The 19,342-nt window shown below is 47.8% G+C and overlaps 3 protein-coding genes across 23 annotated transcripts in view; 1 reads left to right on the top strand and 2 right to left on the bottom strand.

The window, feature by feature from the left end:
* Nucleotides 1-19,342, top strand: part of ZSCAN5A (zinc finger and SCAN domain containing 5A) — a 146,976-nt gene that overhangs the window by 57,550 nt on the left and 70,084 nt on the right. The window lies entirely within an intron of this gene.
* The window catches only part of LOC124900420 (uncharacterized), a 37,707-nt gene continuing 18,639 nt past the window's right edge, over nucleotides 275-19,342 (bottom strand). Inside the window, exon 5 of the mRNA XM_047439799.1 lies at nucleotides 275-19,104. Within this exon, the coding sequence (XP_047295755.1) occupies nucleotides 3,370-4,488 (1,119 nt within the window). The 5' untranslated portion in view covers nucleotides 4,489-19,104 and the 3' untranslated portion in view covers nucleotides 275-3,369. The remainder of the gene's footprint in view (nucleotides 19,105-19,342) is intronic.
* The window catches only part of EDDM13 (epididymal protein 13), a 37,707-nt gene continuing 18,639 nt past the window's right edge, over nucleotides 275-19,342 (bottom strand). Inside the window, exons 10-15 of the mRNA NM_001354658.2 lie at nucleotides 14,762-14,770; nucleotides 14,367-14,393; nucleotides 13,198-13,224; nucleotides 8,634-8,761; nucleotides 5,899-5,936; nucleotides 275-605 (exon numbers count right to left, since the gene is read on the bottom strand). Coding sequence (NP_001341587.1) covers nucleotides 581-605; nucleotides 5,899-5,936; nucleotides 8,634-8,761; nucleotides 13,198-13,224; nucleotides 14,367-14,393; nucleotides 14,762-14,770 — 254 coding nt within the window. The 3' untranslated portion in view covers nucleotides 275-580. The remainder of the gene's footprint in view (nucleotides 606-5,898; nucleotides 5,937-8,633; nucleotides 8,762-13,197; nucleotides 13,225-14,366; nucleotides 14,394-14,761; nucleotides 14,771-19,342) is intronic.

Here is a 19,342-nt window from a genome sequence, read left to right as displayed (position 1 = left end):
GGAACAGCCATATCCTCACAACTGTATTTCCTCAGGACGGTGGGGGCAGCCCCAAATCTTTACACAAAAGAATACGGACTTTGGAATGAGTCCAACTGGGTCAAATCTCAGCTGTGTAGCTTAGTGTGATGTTGGACGAGCCATCGGTCTCTCTGAGCTGTAGTGTCTTCACCTGTAAAGTGCACAGTTAACTGATAGCGTTTGATTCTTGGTAATCCACCAGCATACCTGTTAGTTTTCAGTGTTGGGCGAATGGAATAACCCAGCCTTTTCAGCCATTTCAACAAGTATACATTTTATTATGGAAGTAGTGGGGAAAGTTCGAGAACGATCTGGAGGAGAGATTTTAGGGGAAACTCCTGCAGTTGCTCTCTCAGCCGCCCTGGGTGCATCCCCCTAAGGCATGGCCCCCACAGACACCTTCTGGCCATGCCTCTGGGCACCCAGGTGCCATTCCTTAAAGGACCCAGTTCATTACCCTCCACACAGGCAGTCCAGGGGACAGAGAGCTTTCTTCAGAGGTTAGAATGCCTGGGAGATGGAGGCCTTGTGAAGGCTAAGCTGAGATGGAGCAGGCTCACTAGAAAGAACAGCAGGGATCATCCCTAAGAAAGGAGAGAGAAATGTATTTGTGCATTGATTTTCGTCTTCATGCATTCTCATACTCCTTGCCTGGTGCCCTCTCCATCCACCTCTACAGGGCTCTTTGTGACCTGCCTCAAGCCCACCTCCTCCCTCCAGCTTAGCCCATTCTCCCCACTCACTAGGTTCCACCAAGTTTGTCCCTATTCCCACCGGGCTGTTCCAGCAGCTGGAACACGCTTCCCTCAGATCTTATGGACCCTAGCTCTGCCCCATCACCAGGGCAAGTGTCTCCTCCTCAGAGCAGGGCTCTTCTAGAAACCAGCCAGTGGGAAGCAGCGCCCCCTCCAGTTCCTCACTGTCCCGGCGCCGGGCCTGAGCTTGTGTTGCACCCCTACCTCCCACTAGAGGGCGCGCCCCGCAGGAGCAGGGACTGCCCAGGCCTGGCTGGGCTGCACCCCCTAGCCTGGTGTGCTGGAGTCACTCAGAGTTGCAGGAAGAGAACCTTAAGGTTTGCTTCTGGGTGCTGGAGTTCCAGGGATGGATCAGGGGTACTTCCTGCTCCCACAGGGGCTCACAGTCTATGTGAGCAGGGGCCCTCAAACTGTGTTCCGCAGGGCCAACTGCAGCCTGCATCCCTTTTAATAAAGTTTCTTTTTGTAATTGAGGTAAAATGCAAACATAATGCATAACATAAAATTCACCATTTTAACCATTTTGAAAGGGCACAATTTAGTGGCCTTCATTACATTCGCCATGTTGTGCAATTGTCACTTCTAAGAGTGGAACATTTTCATCAACCCAAAAAAGAAATCCATTAAAAGCAGTCACTCCCCTTGTTCCTTCCTCCCCTCAGCCCCTGACAACTAGTAATTGGCCTTCTGTCTCTTTGAATTTGCCAGATCTGTCTGTTTCATATACATGGCATCATCTACTGTGTGATCTTTTGTGTCTGCTTCTTTCACTCAGCACAGTGTTTTCAAGGTTCAGCCGTGTTGTTGCACGTGCCAGGACCCCATTCCTCTTTTGGGGGCTGAATAATAATCCATTGTATGAATGCACTACGTTTTGTTTATCCTTTCATCAGTTGTTGGGTACAGTCACAGCCATCAGTGTATTCTCTACGATTGCTTTGACTAGAGTAGTTGCAACAGACCATATGACCTGAAAAGCCAACACGTAATATTTGGCCCTTCACAGAGAAAGTTTGCCAACCTCTTGCCTAATGGGTTGAAAGCACACCTTTATATGAAAATAACTATCTGGTTTGACCGGTGCTTTAATGTATGGTTGAAGAGAGCCTGAGAAACCGTTCAACACCATTCATTTCCTTCAGCATCCTCCCCAGTGGAATCTGAAGGATTGCTGTTGGTTCCTGAACCAAAGCATTGCTTAGGTGAATCTTGAGGACTGAGGAGGACTTTTCTAGGTAGACAGAGATCAAGGAATCAATGTGTGCAATGGCATAATGGAGCGGGAAAAAAAATGTGATGTTTTGGGGGGAATCAGAAATGATTTAATATGGGGGGGCGTGGTGGCTCATGCCTGTAATCCCAGCACTTTGGGAGGCCGAGGTGGGTGGGTCACCTGAGGTCAGGAGTTCGAGACCAGCCTGGACAACATGGTGAAACTTCATCTCTACTAAAAATACAAAAATTAGCCAGGTGTGGTGGTGCATGCCTGTAATCCCAGCTACTTGGGAGTCTGAGGCAGGAGAATCGTTTGAACCTGGGAGGCAGAGGTTGCAGTGAGCTGAGATTGGGCCACTGTTCTCCAGCCTGGGTGACAGAGTGAGCCTCCATCTCAAAAAAAAAAGACTGGGAGCCACCGCTCACGCCTGTAATCCCAGCACTTTGGGAGGCCGAGGCGGGCGGATCACAAGGTCAAGAGATCGAGACCATCCTGGCCAACATGGTGAAACCCCGTCTCTACTAAAAGTACAAAACTTAGCTGGGCGTGGTGGCACTCGCCTGTAGTCCCAGCTACTTGGGAGGCTGAGGCAGGAGAATTGCTTGAACCCGGGAGGCGGAGGTTGCAGTGAGCCAAGATTGCGCCACTGCGCTCCAGCCTGGCGACAGAGCGAGACCCTGTCTCAAAAAAAAAGGTTTAATATGGACAGGGGATGGAATGTGGGTGGGGGGATCAAGAGAAGTGGAGAAAAGTTTAGAGAAGCAGGAGGAGCTTGGAGCCTGAGAACCCTTGGGTACCATGCCAGAGACCTGAACTTGATCAATGGGGCAGAGGCTTCCTGCCAGGTTCCCTGAAAACTTGGGATCTTTTAGGAATTCCACAAAGGTTTGCTTTGATTTTCATTTCAAAAATTAAACTATTTTTTAAAATAGGTGTGTACCCAAAATATAGCACATGGACTGAAATTTTTATTCACTGGAGAGCCACACCAACCTGTTGCATGTTTTACATACAGACCTTGGGGAAAAAATTGTATTACCTGAAGGGCATGTACACTTCACAAGGCAAACTATTAGGCATTTGCAGTGACTTATCTCTGTGGGCTCAGATTTTTCTCCGTATGAACAATTAAAAGGAAACACTGCAAGATACGGGGTAAAAGAGAGTAACGTAAGACAGCAGAGGCCTTCTGTACCCTGTGCTTGCAAATCTCATCACCTCACTTCATAATAAGTAAATGTCACACAGTTAACCTTAGGAAAAGTACCTCTGGTAATGAAAAGCAACTTAGAATTTTTTATATATTGGGATTCCATGTAAGATTTCAGTAGAAAAGTGTTTTGGATTTTCTTTCTTTTAAAGTTTGAAAGACACTCATCATAGTTGGTGAGTTTCCACTGGTGGATTTAAGCAGGACTGCAGCAGGGGGTGGGGGTATATCGTATGATCGAGTTGACATTTTTTAATGTAAAAAGGGCACTGGGGATGCCAGGGAGAGGATGAAAGGCAGGCGACGTGGGAGAGGCCAGGGAGGAGCCTCTTTGTAGCTATCAAGGGAAGAGAAATCTCCCATCTGTCCTTAGTACTTTCTCTGGCGACGTGGGAGAGGCCAGGGAGGAGCCTCTTTGTAGCTATCAAGGGAAGAGAAATCTCCCATCTGTCCTTAGTACTTTCTCTGGCAACAGGGGAGAGGCCGGGGGGGACCCTCTTTGCAGATACCGAGGGAAGAGAAGTCTCCCATCTGTCCTTAGTACTTTCTCTGGCGACGTGGGAGAGGCCAGGGAGGAGCCTCTTTGTAGCTATCAAGGGAAGAGAAGTCTCCCATCTGTCCTTAGTACTTTCTCTGGCGACGTGGGAGAGGCCAGGGAGGAGCCTCTTTGTAGCTATCAAGGGAAGAGAAATCTCCCATCTGTCCTTAGTACTTTCTCTGGCGACGTGGGAGAAGCCAGGGAGGAGCCTCTTTGTAGCTATCAAGGGAAGAGAAATCTCCCATCTGTCCTTAGTACTTTCTCTGGCAACAGGGGAGAGGCCGGGGGGGACCCTCTTTGCAGATACCGAGGGAAGAGAAGTCTCCCATCTGTCCTTAGTACTTTCTCTGGCGACGTGGGAGAGGCCAGGGAGGAGCCTCTTTGTAGCTATCAAGGGAAGAGAAATCTCCCATCTGTCCTTAGTACTTTCTCTGGCGACGTGGGAGAAGCCAGGGAGGAGCCTCTTTGTAGCTATCAAGGGAAGAGAAATCTCCCATCTGTCCTTAGTACTTTCTCTGGCAACAGGGGAGAGGCCGGGGGGGACCCTCTTTGCAGATACCGAGGGAAGAGAAGTCTCCCATCTGTCCTTAGTACTTTCTCTGGCGACGTGGGAGAGGCCAGGGAGGAGCCTCTTTGTAGCTATCAAGGGAAGAGAAATCTCCCATCTGTCCTTAGTACTTTCTCTGGCGATGCGGGAGAGGCCAGGGGGACCCTCTTTGCAGCTATCGAGGGAAGAGAAACCTCCCATCTGTCTTTCGTACTTTCTCTCCGTACCCTGGACCCTAGCCTTGACCAGGCTACCGTCATCTCGTGGAAACTGAGTAGCCTCTTAACTGGCCTCTACACTTCATGTCACTGGGACGTGTCTCTTTCTCACTGACAGCCTTTCCGTGGCTTCCCATGGCTCTGAAGGTTGGGTCTAAAATGCTTGCTCTAATCTTCCAGGTCTGAGGTGGTCTGCTGAGCATGTCACCCACACTCCTCCCATAGTGCCCTCCCACTCCCTCCCCCTTCTCCTGCCCCCATTTTTCTTTCTGACTCCAGGCACATCTAGGCCACTTTCCACCCCAGGGCCTTCGTACAAGCCAGTTCCTTCACCTGGAGGCTCTTTCACTTGTTTTCTGTGTATCTGACAACCCCTCATTCTACAGGCCTTTGATTCATTGTCACTTTCCTAAAGAGGCTTTCCTTCATCACCCAACTATCCAGGGCAAGGTTCTTTAGTTCTCTTTTTCATCATATCCTCAGCTTTTCCTCTAGCTCTAAGTATCACCTGTAATCATCTAATTGTTTTCTTGTGAGCTCAGGAATCTTGTCTGCCCCGTTCACTACTGCATCCAGGATGCATCAGTGGGTCGTTATAAACACAGAATTATCATATGACCTAGCAATTCCACTCCTAGTTTGTACCCCAAAAGATTTTAAAACAGATATTCTAACATAACTTGTTCATAGCACCACGACTCACAACAGTCAAAAGGTGGGAGCAACCCAGTGCACTTTACCTGATGATGGATAAACAAAGTGTGCTATGTCCATGCCGTGGAGTGTTATCCAGCAGAAACGAATACAGTCCTGATACAAGGTATACCATGATGAACCTTGGAAATATTATGCCAAATGAATAAACCCAGATGCAAAGGGCCACGTAGTGTATGATTCCATGTGTATGAAATGACCAGAGTAGGTGAGTTCTCAGAGACAGAGAGTAGACTAGTGGTTGCCAGGAACAGGGGGAAGAGACGATGTCTTGGTACAGAGTTCCCTTTTAGGATGATGAGAAGATTCTGGAAACAGATTAGTGGTGATGGCCACACAATATTTTGAGTGTACTGAATGTCACTAATGGTTAATTTTATGTCGTGTGTGTTGGGCCACAAGTCCTAAGACTTGTGAAAAAATTATAGAGTGAATTTATAAAGGAGTTCCTCCTGCCCGGCACATCCCTGTCATTTACAATGTGTTTCCTTGCCCCTGTCAGGCAGTGGCTTGCAAGTAAGGGTGACGAACTTGGGACTTCTCATGGAATTCTGGGTTTCTATGATTGCAGCTTCCAAATCCACCTGTGTTCCTTACCTCAAATGCCAGGCAGTTGGGATGAACCTCCCCTAACCCCACCCCAGCGGTGGGAAAAGCCCACTTCCCTGCCATAGCATACCTGATGTCCAGTTCCAAGTTACAGTAGTGGCAGTAACACTTGGGAGGAAAAAGTGAACTGGGAACAGAGAAAGAAACAGTTGGGGTGAGGCGAGTGAATTCCTTCCTTACCTCCCTTTCTCCCCATCCCCCTCTCGCTTCTTTCCCGTCCTCCCCCTCTGCTCTTTCCCTCTGGTTGTAACATCTTCTGGTCTTGCTTCTCTATTCAGCCCGCCTCTCACCACTCCCACCTTCTTCCCCATCTTCCAGCCAGTTCTCCTCATCCCCATAAGCAGCACAATCCCCTAAGCTGGGGTTTCTCAGCCTCAGGTTCCTGACGTTTTGACCTGGGTTATTTTTGTCGTGGCGTGTTGTCCTGGGCCGTATGGCAGGTTGAGTGGCCTCCCTGGCCTCTGCCCACTGGATGCCAGTCGAGCTCCCTCCTCCAGCTGTCACAACCAATCCTGTGGTCCAGACACTGCTGAGTGTCTCCTGGGTGGCAACGTCACCCCCGTTTCAGAACCACTAGCATAACTGAAGTCACTGTCTCAGGCTCATCTCCCTGGTCTCTCCATTTTCCTTATTCCTCACACCCAGCGCATAAGCAGTTCCTTTAGAACTGCTGCACGGCTCTCATCTCCATGAGCACCGCCAGGTCCCCTGCGCTGGCTGGTCGGGCCTCCTCTCAGTGTGTCTCCTCCTCTCAGTCTGTCTGCTCCCACTCTCGCCCTGATTCCGATCCACTCTCCACAGGCAGCATTGAGAAGGATCCTTTGATAACTCAGAAGGGATCTTGCTGGCGGCTGTCCACTAGCTTAGAACACAAGCTTCCTTCTCGTGGTCTATGAGAACCTTACATGACCTGGACCCCCCTGCCCCTCTCAGGTCACATAGATGTTCCTTTGGTTCCTCGAAGGTACTCAGTGTGTTCCTGCCTCAGGGTCTGCTGTGCATGCCTGCTTTGCTTGCAGTGGTTGCCCCCAAGCTGCTCTGAAGGCAAGATCCTTCCACTGTCTCATCTCTTATGTCCAGACGTTACCTGCCCGGGGAAGGCTGCCCGTGGCCATGGCTGCTCACTCTGTGATATCACCCTGATTTAGTTCATGTTTTTTGGAGCTGGCTGCTTGTTTCTCTGCAGTCCTCCTGCTATCCCAAACATGGGAGCCCTGGGGACTCAAGGACCTTATGGGTTCCGTTCTTCTCTGAGTCCCCAGCATCTAGGATGGGTCCTCTACACACGTGAATATTTGAAGACTGACTGAATCAATGAATGAAGGATGACTTGTCCTTCCTTCCATCCCTCCTTCCCTTCCGTCTTGCCTCCCTCCCTCCCTCCCTCCTTTCCTTCCTTTCCTTCTTTTTTTTTCTATTTACTTTAATTTTTTGAGACAGAGTCTCACTCTGTCACCCAGGCTGGTGTGATCTTGGCTCACTGCAACCTCTGCTTCCCAGGTTCAAGTGATTCTCCTGCCTCAGCCTCCCGAGCAGCTGGGATTACAGGCATGCGCCACCATGCCCGGCTATTTTTTGTATTTTTAGTAGAGACGGGGTTTCACCATGTTGACCAGGCTGGTCTTGAACTCCTGACCTCGTGATCCAGCCGCCTCAGCCTCCCACAGTGCTGCGATGACAAGCGTGAGCCACCGTGCCCGGCCTGGCTTGTAGTTTCTTGCACCCTGCCTTATTTTCACCTCTCTGAGTCTCGCACATGGTGTTTCTCTGGAATGCTTCCCCTGCTTCCCCTCCTCAATTGGCTAATTCCATTCTGTCCTTAACCCACAGCAGAGGTGTCACCTCCTGCAGAAAGGCTTCCATGAGCCCACACTTCCCCTAGGCTGAGATAAGCGCCACTGCCTCCTGCACTAGCACCTGCTCATGAAGTGCTACCACTCGGTGATCTGGTTCTCTCTGTGGATGTCTGCCTCCCTTACAGAATTAGGACCTTCTTGAAGGTAGCTCAACCATCAGAGTCCCCAGCAACCAGCAACAGGCTTGGTCCTTATGAACGTCCCTTAGAAAGAACAAGAGACAGCGGCAGAGAGAGAGGCAGAATGAGTGACAGTATTTCAAAGGAGCCCCTGGGGCTGTGTTAGTGCAGAAGGGAGAAGTTTTATCCCAGTCTAGAGGTGGGAGGGAGGGAAGAAGGAAAGAGAAGGAAGGAGAGAGAAGGAGGGAAGGAGGAAGGAAAGAACAGGGAGGGGGGGAAGAAAAGGAAGGGAGGAGGAGGGAGGGAGGAAGAGGGAGAGGAAGAAGAGGGAGAGGAAGAAAAGGGGGAGGAAGAAAAGGAAGGGGGGAGGGAGGGAGGAACGGGGAGGAAGAAGAGGGAGGGAGGGAGGAAGGAAAGAAGGGCAGAGAGGGAAGAAGGATGGGAAGGAAGAAGGGAGGGAGGAAGCAGACGGAGAGAGGAAGAAAGGAAGGAAGGGAGAAAGGGAGGGATGAAGGGAGGAGGAAAGAATAGGGAGGGAGGAGAGAGAAGGAGGAAGTAAGGGAGGGAAGAAAAAAGGAAGAGGAAAGGGAAGGAGGAAGGGGAGGGAGGGAGGGAGAAAAGAGGGAAGAAGGAGAGAGGAAGGAAGAATGAAATGAGAGATGGAGGCGGGTGGGAGAGTGGGAAGAAGAGAGTGTTTTACAGAAGGGCTCTCCCACCACTTCCTGCTTGGCACCTCTGAGGCACCCTCCTTCGCTTCCTCTGTGCCCCCACTTCCCTCCTCTTTCCTTCCTCTCCTCACACTCCTCCCCTCCGTGCTGCCTTCTTCTTACCCAGTCCCCTTTGTTGTAGGATACGAAGAGGTAGGTCATCACCATGTAGGCGCATTTCAGGAAGTTCCACGTGTTCTTCCTCTTGGGGAGTGGTTTCCTGGATGGGGTGGTGCCTGAGAAGGGTTTAACTGGAGAGAACCGTGGAGATGATTGATGCTGATGGCCTTCCCTTCCTGCCTTAGAGCTTCCTGTCACTGCTGTCTCTCCATTCTGATCTCCAAACTCACATCTCTGCCTGCCTCCTGAATTGAAATTTTGGTCCACACCCACCATCACTGCCAGCTTCCCCCTTCTTGGTTACCACCATACTCCAGACAAACAGTCAGGAATGCCTTTTGGCTCTCCCACCTCACATCCAAGACATCACCAAATCTGACCCTGTCTTGCCCAGATTTCTCACCAAACTGTCAGAGGGGTTTGAACCAGAGTGACTCCGTCTTGAATAGGGGCTGGGTAAAATGAGGCTGAGCCCTACTGGGCTACATTCCCAGTAGGTTAAGGCATTCTTAGTCACAGGATGACAATAGGAGGTTGGCACAAGATACAAGTCGCAAAGACCCTGCTGATAAAACAGGTTGCGGTAAAGAAGCTGCCAAAACCCACCGAAACCAAGATAGCGATTCAAGTGACCTCTGGTGGTCCTCACTGCTCATTATATACTAATTATAATGCATTAGCAGGCTAAGAGACACGCCCACCAGTACCATGACAGTTCACAGATGGCATGGCAACTTCAGGAAGTTCCCCTACTGGCCTAAAAAGGGGAGGCACCCTCAGCTCCAGGAAATCTCCACTCCTTCCCTGGAAAACTCATAAATAATCCACCCCTTGTTTATCATATATTCAGGAAATAACTATAAGGAGACTCAGTCCAGCAGTCCTTGCTGCTGCTCTGCCTATGGAGTAGCCAGTCTTTTATTCCTTTACTTTCTTAATAAACTTGCTTTCACTTTATGGACTTGCCTCAAATTCTTTCTTGCACGAGATTCAAGAACCCTCTCTGGGGGTCTTGATCGGGACCCCTTTCTGGTAACAAAACCACCACCTCTCCCCCATCCCCAGGCTTCAGGCTCTGCTCTTGATGGCTGCCTCTGCCCACTACGCCATCCTTTCTCTTTCTCATCCATCTCCCACATGAGTGCCAGCAGGATCTTTCTAGCACCAGATCCGACCGTGTCGCTTTCTTATGTCAAACCTCATGAGGTGCAAGAGTGTTTCTTTCGCCTGTGTAACATTTTTCCCTTGTCTTTTTATTTTAAAAGTATTACATTCAGAAAATCTCATTTTTTTTTTACACGTAAACCTGTCTGTCTAAACAGGTTTCCAATCAAAAAATAAAACATTACCAGTGTACAGGCAAATGCAAATCGAAAACGAAAAAAAATGAATTCTCCCTGTTGAAAATTCAGGAAGCGATTACTCCTTGTCCCCTTTGCTTAGAGCATTTACTTTAGAAAATTTTGCCATTGCAAGTCTCTCTCTCTTCAACGTTTACACTAATCTTTTTCAAAGCTAAGTAAGCCTGCGGCCAGCATTATGACCCAGGAGGGTGTTTTCAAGGACCTCGAAACATCTTCCCCAGCTTCTTGTTGGGAGGGGATGGAGCCTAACTTTGGTGGGCACCTCACCCCAAGTAGCAAATCTACCTCCTGTGATAAAGATACTAGAAGTTTATTTTTCCCTTGGATTAAGCCAATTAACAAACACAGTTGGCTATCCCAATAACCAAGTGAATTTACGGTGAACCATGTACAGCAAATAGAGCTGTCAAGTTCTTTAACTTGAGGACTAGCTGTTGTTTATCTTGAGAGCAGGTATGTAATAAGTTGTATCTGCTTGGCTATATAAAAGGGTGAAATTTTTTTTTTCTGTCTTTGCAGTCTCTTCGCATATCATGTTCTGGTTTAATGCTTACCCATTAATAAAACTATTTTCTTTCTCTTCTACCTGGGTGGAGAAGAGCTCTGGGTTTGGAGGATATTTTGTTTTTAATTATATTTCACCAACACCAGCATATCCCAAGCCTCTCAGATATACCCTCCCAATCAAAGGTACACAATCACATCTATAAAAAATGAGGCTCATCTTTCTTTCTTCACAATCCTTTTGCCTATTATTACCTTTCTCTTGCCTGGCTAGGATTTGCACTGGATAGAACGTTCAGTCCAATGTGAAATGCAAGTGGTGATAGCAAGAACGTCTCATCTGTGATCTCAGAGGGAACATGTTCTACACCCTCAGCCCTCTGTGTCGCTGGACTCTGCATCTGAGGACCCAGCCAAAAACTGGTCAAAAATACTTTTTAAAATCCCAATAAAAATAGCAATACAACAATAAAAACAATACAAAAATATAACAGTACAATAACTAAGGAGCATTTACATTGTATTATAAGTAATCTAGAGATGATTTAAAGTGTGCAGGAGGCTGTTCATAGGTTAAATGCAAGCATTATGCTATTTATATCACGGACTTGAACATCAAGGAATTTTGCTATCTGCGGGGAGGTCCTGGACCCAACCCCTGAGGATACTGAGGGACAACTGTGTTTTACCTTAAACAGCTTGTTCTTTGTAAGTTTTTGGTGGCTATTCCTTATTATATTAAGCTGTTCTCTCTACTCCTAGCTAGCTGAGATTTTTTTTTTTTTTAATCATGAACAAGGCTGGGCATGGTGGCTTATGTCTGTAATTCCAGCACTTTGGGAATCTGAGGCGGGAGGCTCACTTGGGCCCAGGAATTTGAGACCAGCCTGGGCAACATAGGGAGACCCAAACTCTACAAAAAATTTAATAAATTAGCTGGGTGTGGTGTCTCGTGCCTGTGGTCCCAGCTACTCAGAGGCTGTAGAGGGGAGGATCACTTGAGCCTAGGAGTTTAGGGCTGTGGTGAGCCGTGATCATACCACTGCACTCCAGCCTGGGCAACAAAGCTAGACCGTGTCTCAAAAAAAAAATAATGTAAGCTGTAAAATCTTACCATATTCTTTTTCTGTATCTACTGAAATGATAATGTGCTTGTTTTCTTTTATGTTAATAAGGTGGGAATACCATATATTTGTTTTTACCTATTAAACCATTGTCGCATTGCTGGAATAAAGTGAATTTAGTCATGATTGTTTAACATGTATTGCCAAATTGCACTTGCTAATATTTAGTCTAGGATTTTCCATCTATATTTATGAGGAAGATTGGCCTGAAATTTTCCTTTGTCGTATTTGTCAGATCTTTTATCAAGGTTATTCTGTCCTAAAACCGAGTTGGGAAATGACTGTTTTTAATTTTCTGGAAGATTTCCTGTAAGATCAATGTGATTTCTTCCTTTTAATTCACTATTAAAGCTAACTTGATCCTGAAAGACTTTTTTGTGTGTGGTAAGGCTATTTAATTACAGGTGGCATTTCTTTAATAGATAGAGGATTATTCAGATTTTTTTTTTTTTTTTGAGATGGAGTCTTGCTCTGTTGCCAGTCTGGAGTACAGTGGCACGATCTCAGCTCACTGCAGCTTCCGCCTCCCAGGTTCAAGTGATTCTCCTGCCTCAGCCTCCCGAGTAGCTGGGACTACAGGCACCCGCCACCACGCCTGGCTAATTTTTTTGTATTTTTAGTAGAGACGGGGTTTCACCAGACGGGGTTTCATCATGTTGGGTGGGATGGTCTCAATCTCCTGACCTTGTGATCCGCCTGCCTCGGCCTCCCAGAATGCTGGGATTACAGATGTGAGCCACCGCGCCCAGCCCAGATTTTTTATATCATTTCATTTGTTTTTGGTAATTTGTGTTTTTTTGGGATTTTGTCCGTTTTATCTAAACTTTCAATTTTATTGGCATAAAGTTTCTCCAATGATCACCTTATTGTTATTTTGTTACCTGCAAGATCTGCTATGATACTCTCTTCTTCCTTCCAAATATTGGCAGTTTGTTTCTCCTCTATTTTTTCTTGTCAGTAATGCTAGAGGATTAAATTTGTATTACGCTTTTCAAAAGAACCAACCATTAGTGTTGTTCTGGCTTTTTTTTTTTTTTTTGAGACTTGCTCAGTTACCCAGGCCGGATGCGGTGGCACAATCACGGCTCACTGCAGCCTCCACCTCCCCAGCTCAAATAATCCTCCTGCCTCAGCCTCCCGGGTAGCTGGGACCACAGGTGCTGCCACCATGCCCGGCTCTGCCTACTTTAAAACGCTCATCTCCACCATCTGGATCACTTGGTGGCTTGCTGCTATTTTCTGGTTTTCCGGCCCTCAGTCCTATCACCCAGGACTTAGCTTGGTAATTTCCATGTCGGGAAGAGAGGACTCACAGTCCACAGAAGCAGCAGCTGGGATAGAAATGTCTCCCACTCACATCTCAGTATGTTGGGTCTCCTCGATGCCCATGAGCAGTGTGAAAGGGGCAGTGGCTTGCAGACTTTGGATGCCCTTCAGGAAGGCAGCCTCTCAGGTACCAAAGCCCCTGCAGGGCCTTGATTACCTGAAATCTTCTCTTCTAAGGCTTTATCATAGCCCAGACAGAAGGGACACACTGTCTTATAGATGAGGAATGGTACGACCCCAAGCACTTACCTTCCTCCTTGCAGCCACTTGTTTCTTCTAAAAATGAAGAGATGGAGGAGAAAAAGAAGCAGGAAGAGAAGGAGGAAGAGGAAAGGAAGAAAGGGAGGGAGAGAGGGAGGGAGGAAGAGGAAGAGGAAAGGAAGAAAGGGAGGGAGAGAGGGAGGGAGGAAGAGGAAGAGGAGGAGAAAAGAAAGGAAAAGAAAAGAAACCATCAGGTGAATTATGAAGTGGGTGGAGACCAAACTCTAAATAGTGCTTCCAGGTGCCTCGAATGAGGAGAGAAGAGAATAAAGTTAGTCTCCCTGTGTCCCTGGATCCCAGGGACTCAGCTGCCTCAGGGCCTTTGCATATACTGTTCTCTCTTCCTGGAATGCCTTTCCCCCAGTTATCTCTGGCTCACCTGCCCTTCTTCTTCAAGCCTTTGCTCACATGTCATGTTCCCTGATCGCCCTTTAAAAACTTTTTTTTTTTGAGACAGAGTTTTGCTCTTGTCACCCAGGCTGGAGTGCAATGGCATGATCTCGGCTCACTGCAACCACTGCTTCCCAGGTTCAAGTGATTTTCCTGCCTCAACCTCCCGAGTAGCTAGGATTACAGGTGCACACCACCATGCCCAGCTAATTTTTTCTATGTTTACAAAATTTGTTTCAAAATAATTGTTTGTATTTTAGTAGAGACGGAGTTTCACCATGTTGGCCAGGCTGGTCTCGAACTTCTGACCTCAGGTGATCCACCCACGTCGGCCTCCCAAAGTGCTGGGATTACAGGCATGAGCCACCATGCCCAGCCAAAAAACTTAAGTTTCCCGCACTGCGTTTCCATCCCCATTACTCTATTGTCTCCATAGGACATAATAGCCTTCAGCAGACCTATAACTACTGCTCTTTGTTTTTTCTCCTCTGATTGGAATACAAGTTTCACTTGGTCACAGACTTCTGTCTGTTTTATCCTCTGCTGCATCTCTAACACCTAGAATAACATTTGGTACAGGAGAGCTAACATCAGTTAATATCTGTTGGACAAATAAAAACATGTTAAACATTTATGATGCAGATGATGATACGGATAAAGAGTGTAGGGTCTGATGATATTTAAGGGACCCCCCACCATAGAAAAAACCAGTACCTGTATATTTCTGTGCACAGGAGTGAACACGAAATAGCAGTCACCAGACTTACCATGCAGTACTTGGAGGCTCAGCAAGCCTAAGGAGGACAGGGGCATACAACGCGAGTCAGAAGGGACAGCATGATAAACACTTCCAGACCAGCAGGTCCAGCAGGCTCGCCCCAAGCCACTCCTCCTCCGAGAAGCCCTGCTGGATTGCCCGCATCGTCCTCTTGCACACTGTCCCCACTGCCACCTCCCCCCTGTGCCACACAGATTCCTGTTGTAGTTTAACTGCCTGTTACTTTTCCATCTCCCCACCTCCACTAGACTGTGAGTTGACGTGAGGGTGTGAGCTTGTCAGATCCATCTTTCAGCTTTCCACCACCCTGCCCAGCCCTAAAAAGCATTCCTCCCAAACCAGCTTCCTACAGAGTCCCGGGGCAGGCATGGAGTGAGGTGTCACCTAGGATCTCTGATGATGTCCATCCAGAAGGAGATGGGGTCCAGGAAGCAAGACAGGTCAGGGGAGCAGACAGGCCCAGAGTATGGAGTTCCCAGGAGCCGTGGAAGAGGAGGCCACATGTAGGGAAAAATCACAACATCAGAAGACAGAGCGATGGGAGCACAGGAGAGCGGAGCCCTGGGTGGGTCGTGCTGAGTAGTCAGGACATGCCACAGTGAACAGCGCAGAACAGTCAGAGGCTGCTTCGTGTGGGTTGGAGGGACGTGCAGTGACTTGCAGGATTTGCACCGCAGCAAGGTTAGGCTGGGAAGGAAGCCGCCACGCCATTCCCATCTCTTCTGTTTGTTTTTGTTTTGTTTTGTTTTTTGTTTTTTAGACGGAGTCTTGCTCTGTTGCCCAGACTGGGGTGCAGTGGGACGATCTCGGCTCACTGCAACTTCTGCCTCCCGGGTTCAAGCGATTCTCCTGCCTCAGCCTCCTGAGTAGCTGGGAGCACAGGCACCCGCAACCACACCCGGCTAATTTTTGTATTTTTAGTAGAAACGGAGGTTTCACCACGTTGGCCAGGCTGGTCTAGAACTCCTGACCTGAGGTGATCCGCCCGCATCAGCCTCCCAAAGTGCTGGGATTACAGGTGTGAGCTACCATGCCAGGCCTTTTTTCCATGTATTTTGTGTCACTCTAATGTAGGCACCTACATACTCATCCAGGGGTGGCACATTCCATCCCACCACCCGTTGTTGTTTTCTGAACTTTGTTTTTTAATAACAACTTGACTGGTATATTAATATAATTCACATAACTTATGACTCACCCATCAAGTGTACAAGACAGTAGTTTTTAGGACATTCACAAAGCTGTGCATCCATCACCACAAACAATTTTAGAACGTTTTCATCACCTGAAAAAGAAACCGTGTACCCGTTGGCCATTGCCTCCAAACCTGGTGCCCCTGAGCAGTCACTCCCCATCTCTCTGGGCTCACCCCCCTCTCCCGCGGTCCTAGGCAACCACTAAGCTGCTTTCCCTATCTGTGGACTTGCCTGCTGTGGACATGTCGTAGAGACAGAGTCATACCCTATGTGCTTTTGTGTCTGGCTTCTTTGACTGAGCACTGTGTTTTCAAGGCGCGTTTATGTTGTGTCCTGTGTCAGCACTTTCTTTGTGGCTGAATAACATTCCATTGTATGAATAGACACATTTTATTTACCCATTCATCGGTGGGTGGACATCCTGACACTTGCTTTTGTAGATGAAGTTTTATTGGAACAGAGCCATGCCCATTCACAATGTGTTGTCTACTGCTTTTGTAAATAAAGTTTTATTGGCACACAGCCATGCCCATTCACTGTGTGTTGTCTGTGGCTGCTTTCAGGCCACAAAGGCAGCATTGAGTAGTGAGTGGCAGCAGAGACCACCTGGCCCTGAAAGCCTAAGATGTTTACTATTTAGCGCTTTACAGAAAACAGAAAAAAAAATGCTGATTGATCCCTGCCTTATGTCACTGAATTCTCAAACAAGCAAAAAATATTATCTCCATTAATCAGGTAGGAAAATAGAATCTAAGGGAGTTTGGGTAAGTTACGCCCACATTATAGATGATGGGAGTAGAGTTCCCACCCAGGCCTCTTTGCCTTAAAACTCAGGCTGTCTCCACCGAACCACTTGCATCCTGGGTTAATGTGAGGGTCCGGGAGAAAGAGCCCACGTGAATCGCCCAGTACAGAGCTTGGCACCTGGTGGGCCCTTAGGCAGGTGTTTGGGATTTTCCTGCTGGGTTTGGCTTTTGCTCGTTACTGGAGCAGGGCTGGGTCTGCTTGGCACCTGGTGGGCCCTTAGGCAGGTGTTTGGGATTTTCCTGCTGGGTCTGCTTTCAGTTTGCAAAGTGCTGTCAGTGCAGCATGAGGACGGAGGCTGGAGAAGGGCCTGGGAAAAGGAGCGAAAGGAGCAAGGCAGAGGGGCCTCCTGCAGACATGGGAGTGTTCAGAACAAAGGTAAATGAGGTGGTCCTCACAGACCCTTGCTGAGCTCTTATCCCGTGCCAGACATTTTATTCAGCGGGGGGTTTCTCAACCTCCAGACGAGTGACATTTGGGGCTGGATAGTTTTTTTGTTGTGGGGGTGGGGTGTCCTGTGCATTGTAGGATGTGTAGCAACATCTCGAGACTCCCCCCATTAGATGCCGTTAGCCTCCCCTACCACCTCCCTGAGTCCTCACAACCAAAAATATCTCTAGGCATTGCCAGGTGTCCCCTGAGGGGCGAAATCTCCCCAATTGGGAATCATCCTGCCAAGTGCATGATCCTGTTTACTCCTCACAACCATATGAGGCTGGAACTATTATGTGCATTGTACCGACCAGGGGCCTGAGCCCTTCAGGAGGCGAGGGTCCGAAGCCCACGGAACTAGAAAGTGGTGCAGTCAGGACCGGCGCCCACAGTGCACACTCTCTGCCAGTTCCTCTTTCCCTTTCTTAGCATAATTTTATCTTCCTTACAATATATACAACATACAATTATAATGATAATACTTCCAGTGTAGGGATGAGGCAGGGACCTCGTTAGTCTGAGCCGCTTTGAACACTTTTGAGTTTGCATTGTTTAATAGCACCGTTTGGGATCCAGACTGGGCTTAAGTTATTCTCTGCACCTGACTGGCTGTGTGACCATGAGCAAGCGACTCTCCCTCTCTTACCACAGTGTTTTCAGTTGTAAAACAAGGACGATGACTTGGGGACTGTCATGAGTCAAGCACTTAACAACCATGCCTGGTACCCAGAACGTGCTCTTGAGCTGCAGGATACCATTTTTCAATTTGTTTTTTCAGATCAGGATGTCTTGGGTTTCACTGAGGCTCAAGCTGCATAGAAGTGGGGTTTGGAGGTGGGTGTGGGGCATGGACAGGATGGTGTCTCAGAACTGGGGTTTAGATGGCTTTGAATGTGGACCAAAAGAAGAGTGTGTCCTCAGCCGAAAGGTAGAATCAACCCAAAATTCAATCAGTGGATGATTGGATTAAAAAATGCAGTCTATCCATGCAATGGAGTATTGCTCAGCCATGAAAAGGAGTGAAGCACTGTCACAGGCCACAATGTGGCTGAACCTTGAGGACACTGTGCTGAGTGATGAAGCCAGACACAAAAGACCACATCGTGTACGATTCTACTTCTATGAGGTACCTAGAATCCTCAAACTTGCAGAGACAGAAAGTGAAATGGTGGTTGCCGGGGCTGAGGTCAGAGGGAGAATGGGGACTGACTGTTTAATGGGTACTTTTTTTTTGGTGGGGCAGTGATTATAAAGTTCTGGAGTCAGTGGTGATGGTTGCACACCATTGTGTGTGTACCAAGGGCCACTAAATCGCACACTTTAAAGTGGTTAAGGTGGGTGCAGTGGCTCGTGCCTGTGATCCCAGTGCTTTGGGAGGCTGAGGTAGGAGGATTGCTTGAGCCCCGGAATTGAAGACCAGCCTTGGCAACAAAGCAAAACAAAAAAGTAAAAAAAAAAAAAGTAAAAACAGACAAAAAAACCAAAAATAATTAGCTAGGTGTGATGATGCACACCTGTAGTCCCAGTTCCTCAGGAGGCTAAGAAAGAAGGATCGCTTGAGCCCAGGAGGTCTGCACCACTGTGCTCCAGCCTGGACAACAGAGCAAGATCCTGTCTCTAAAAAATGAAAACAAGTTACAATGGTAAATTTCATGTTTTGTATATTTTACTACAATTTCAAGACTTTTTAAAAGATGTATGTTACCCACATGTGGCAAACAGTGACTTTTTCAGGGAACAGCATGATGAAATGGTCAGAGATGTTCTTGGGGAAAATAAGTCTGAGCCACACAGCAGTGGGAGGAAGCACAGCACCGTGGTTAAGCAGCTGAGTCACGCAGCCCAGGATCCGTAACCCACCGTCACCACTGGGATGCCCAGTCTTGATCTAGTTACCTAACCTTTATACCTCAGTCAAGTGCAGATGAATAATACTTGCCTTGTGAAGAAGTTGTGGGGAATAACTACACATAACACATTGAAAAGTGCTGCTCTGGTGCCTCGCGCCTGGCACCTAGAAAGCTCTTTGTAAATTTCCATCACTGTCATCACCATCCTCATCATGGCATTACATGAATGCCTGATTCGAGGAGGGATTGGTTTCCATGAGACATCCCATCTATTTGAAGATGATGGTAATATAGCTATTTTTTCCCAGTTCTTGAGTTTAAAAAAAAAAGATGGTCAAAAGCTGAGAGTTGATCCATGGCTAAGAGTGGACCTCCCTTGGCAGAGATGAGAACAGGAGCAAAACAGAAGGGGTCAAATGTGAAACAAGACTCTTAGGTTTCAGTGCTGTTGAGATGAGATGCCAGGAGCAGAAGATCCAGTGGGCATTGTTGGGCAGCAGTGGAGGAAGGAAGGAAGGAGAGGAGAGGAAAAGGAAGAAATTAATAACGCCTTCTTCCTAGCTCCTCCCACCCTGTGGTTCTCAAAACAGATCTTCCCAAAAAAGAGAAATAAAGTGTCTTCCAGATTAATGCGATAGGCTGGGGCCCAGGGTGGGTGACTCGAGATGCTTCTTTGAGACTTT

This window comes from Homo sapiens, chromosome 19 (genome assembly GCF_000001405.40).
Source record: "Homo sapiens chromosome 19, GRCh38.p14 Primary Assembly".
NCBI classification, from domain to species: domain Eukaryota; kingdom Metazoa; phylum Chordata; class Mammalia; order Primates; family Hominidae; genus Homo; species Homo sapiens.
The sequence above is the reverse complement of the archived record's forward strand: the minus strand, read 5'-3'. Positions and strand labels throughout refer to the sequence as shown.